A 1,723-nucleotide genomic window follows, 5' to 3' on the forward strand; every position below is an offset into this window, starting at 1 on the left:
CAACTTTCATTTAATTTTATTGACTAACTGAAAGCATTTTACCCAAATTCTGTGTTTAAAATATATGAAAATGTAGGAAAATACACACTTTTATTAACTTTCAGATGTGAAATGGACTTGAATAAAGTGGCATATACAGATGAGAATTCAGTAGTAGTTAAAAGGTTATGAATTCAGGGCTAAGTCTATTTTCTGCTGCTGTAACAGAACACCTGAAACTGGGTAATTTATAATAAAAAGAAATTTATTGACTTAAACACTTCTGGAAGCTGGAAAATTCAATATTAAGGGAACAACTTCTGTCCAGGGCCTTCTTGCTGCATGATTACATGGTGGAAGTGCAGAAAGGCAAAGAGAAAGGCAAGAAAGAGAACAGCATAGGGCTAAGTACACCCTTTCATAACAGCACCAATCTCACCTCTAAGAGTGAAGCCCTCATAGCCTTATTACCTCTTAAAAGTTCTGCCTCTTAAATACTATTAGAATAGCAATTAAGTTTTAACATGGGTTTTTGAGGGGGGCAAAAATTCAAACCATATTATTCTGACCCTGGCACCCCCAAAATTCATGTCCTTTTCATGTACAAAAGACATTCATTCCATCCCAAAAGTCTGAGTTCAATCCAGGATCAACTCAAAAGTATAAAATCCAGAGTCTCATCTAAATCTGATATGGGTGTGACTCAAGGTGTGACTCATCCTAAGGTGAACTTTTCTCCAGCTGTGAGACTATGAAATCAAACAAGTTCTTTACTTTTAAACTGCAGTGATGTGACTGACACAGGGCAGATACTTCCATTTCAAAAGGGATAAATAAGCAAAAAGAAAGAGATAACTTGTCCCAAGTAAGTCCAAAACCCAACAGAGCACGCTACATTAAATCTTTTTGTCTTTTTGTTTTCTGTTTTTTTGAGACAGAGTCTCACTCTATTATTGAGGACAGAGTGCACTGGTGTAATCATGGCTCATTGCAGCCTCAACCTCCCAATGCCCAAGGAATCTTCCTACCTCAGCCTCCCAAGCAGCTGGGGCCATAGGCATGTGCCACCATATCCAGTTAATATTTAATTTTTATTTTTTTGTCAAGACAGAGTTTCCCTATGTTGCTCAGGCTGGTCTCAAACTGGGCTTAACTGATCCTTCTGCTTCAGCCTCCCAAAGTGCTGGGATTACAGGCGTAAACCACCACATCTGGCCTAATATTAAATCTTAAGGCTCCAGAATAATCTCCCTTGACTCCACATTCCACCTTCCAGACACACTAGCGTTCCCAAAGCCATGAGACTTTGGGAAGCCCCAGCCTGTGGCTTTACTCAGCTCAGCCCACACAGCGACTCTGATATGCAGGAGTCTTTTATCTGCAGCTCTCCCAGGCTCATGTTGCTCACTAGCAGTTTTATAGTTCTGAGGTCTTCAGAGAGACCCATCCCCCTCCCCTGGCCCTACTAGGCATTGGACCTAGGGAGGACTGTCTTTGACAGCTCTGTCCTTGCAGCTGATCCCTGCAGCATTCTTTGAAATGTAGCTGAAGGCTGCCATGCTTCCACAGCTTTTGCACTCTGCAGGCCTGCAAAGTTAGCAGCCCGTGCACATCGCCAATGTTTATATGACTTCTATATTCCAGAGTGGTGACTGGTGCTGCACCCAGGTCCACTTGAGCCATGATTGGGGTTGCCAAGCTATGCTGCACCAGAAGGAGAAGAACATACATTTGAGGTGACACA

At 42.1% G+C, this 1,723-nt stretch overlaps 1 annotated feature.

Moving 5' to 3' along the window:
• Positions 1,146-1,346: a silencer, noted in NCBI's record as "peak7310 fragment used in MPRA reporter construct". NCBI's record gives its function as "represses an SCP1 promoter by STARR-seq MPRAs in K562 erythroleukemia cells {active_cell/tissue: K562}" and the evidence as "EXISTENCE:reporter gene assay evidence [ECO:0000049][PMID:32103011]".

The sequence above is a fragment of the Homo sapiens genome, chromosome 9, assembly GCF_000001405.40.
Source record: "Homo sapiens chromosome 9, GRCh38.p14 Primary Assembly".
NCBI classification, from domain to species: Eukaryota; Metazoa; Chordata; class Mammalia; order Primates; family Hominidae; genus Homo; species Homo sapiens.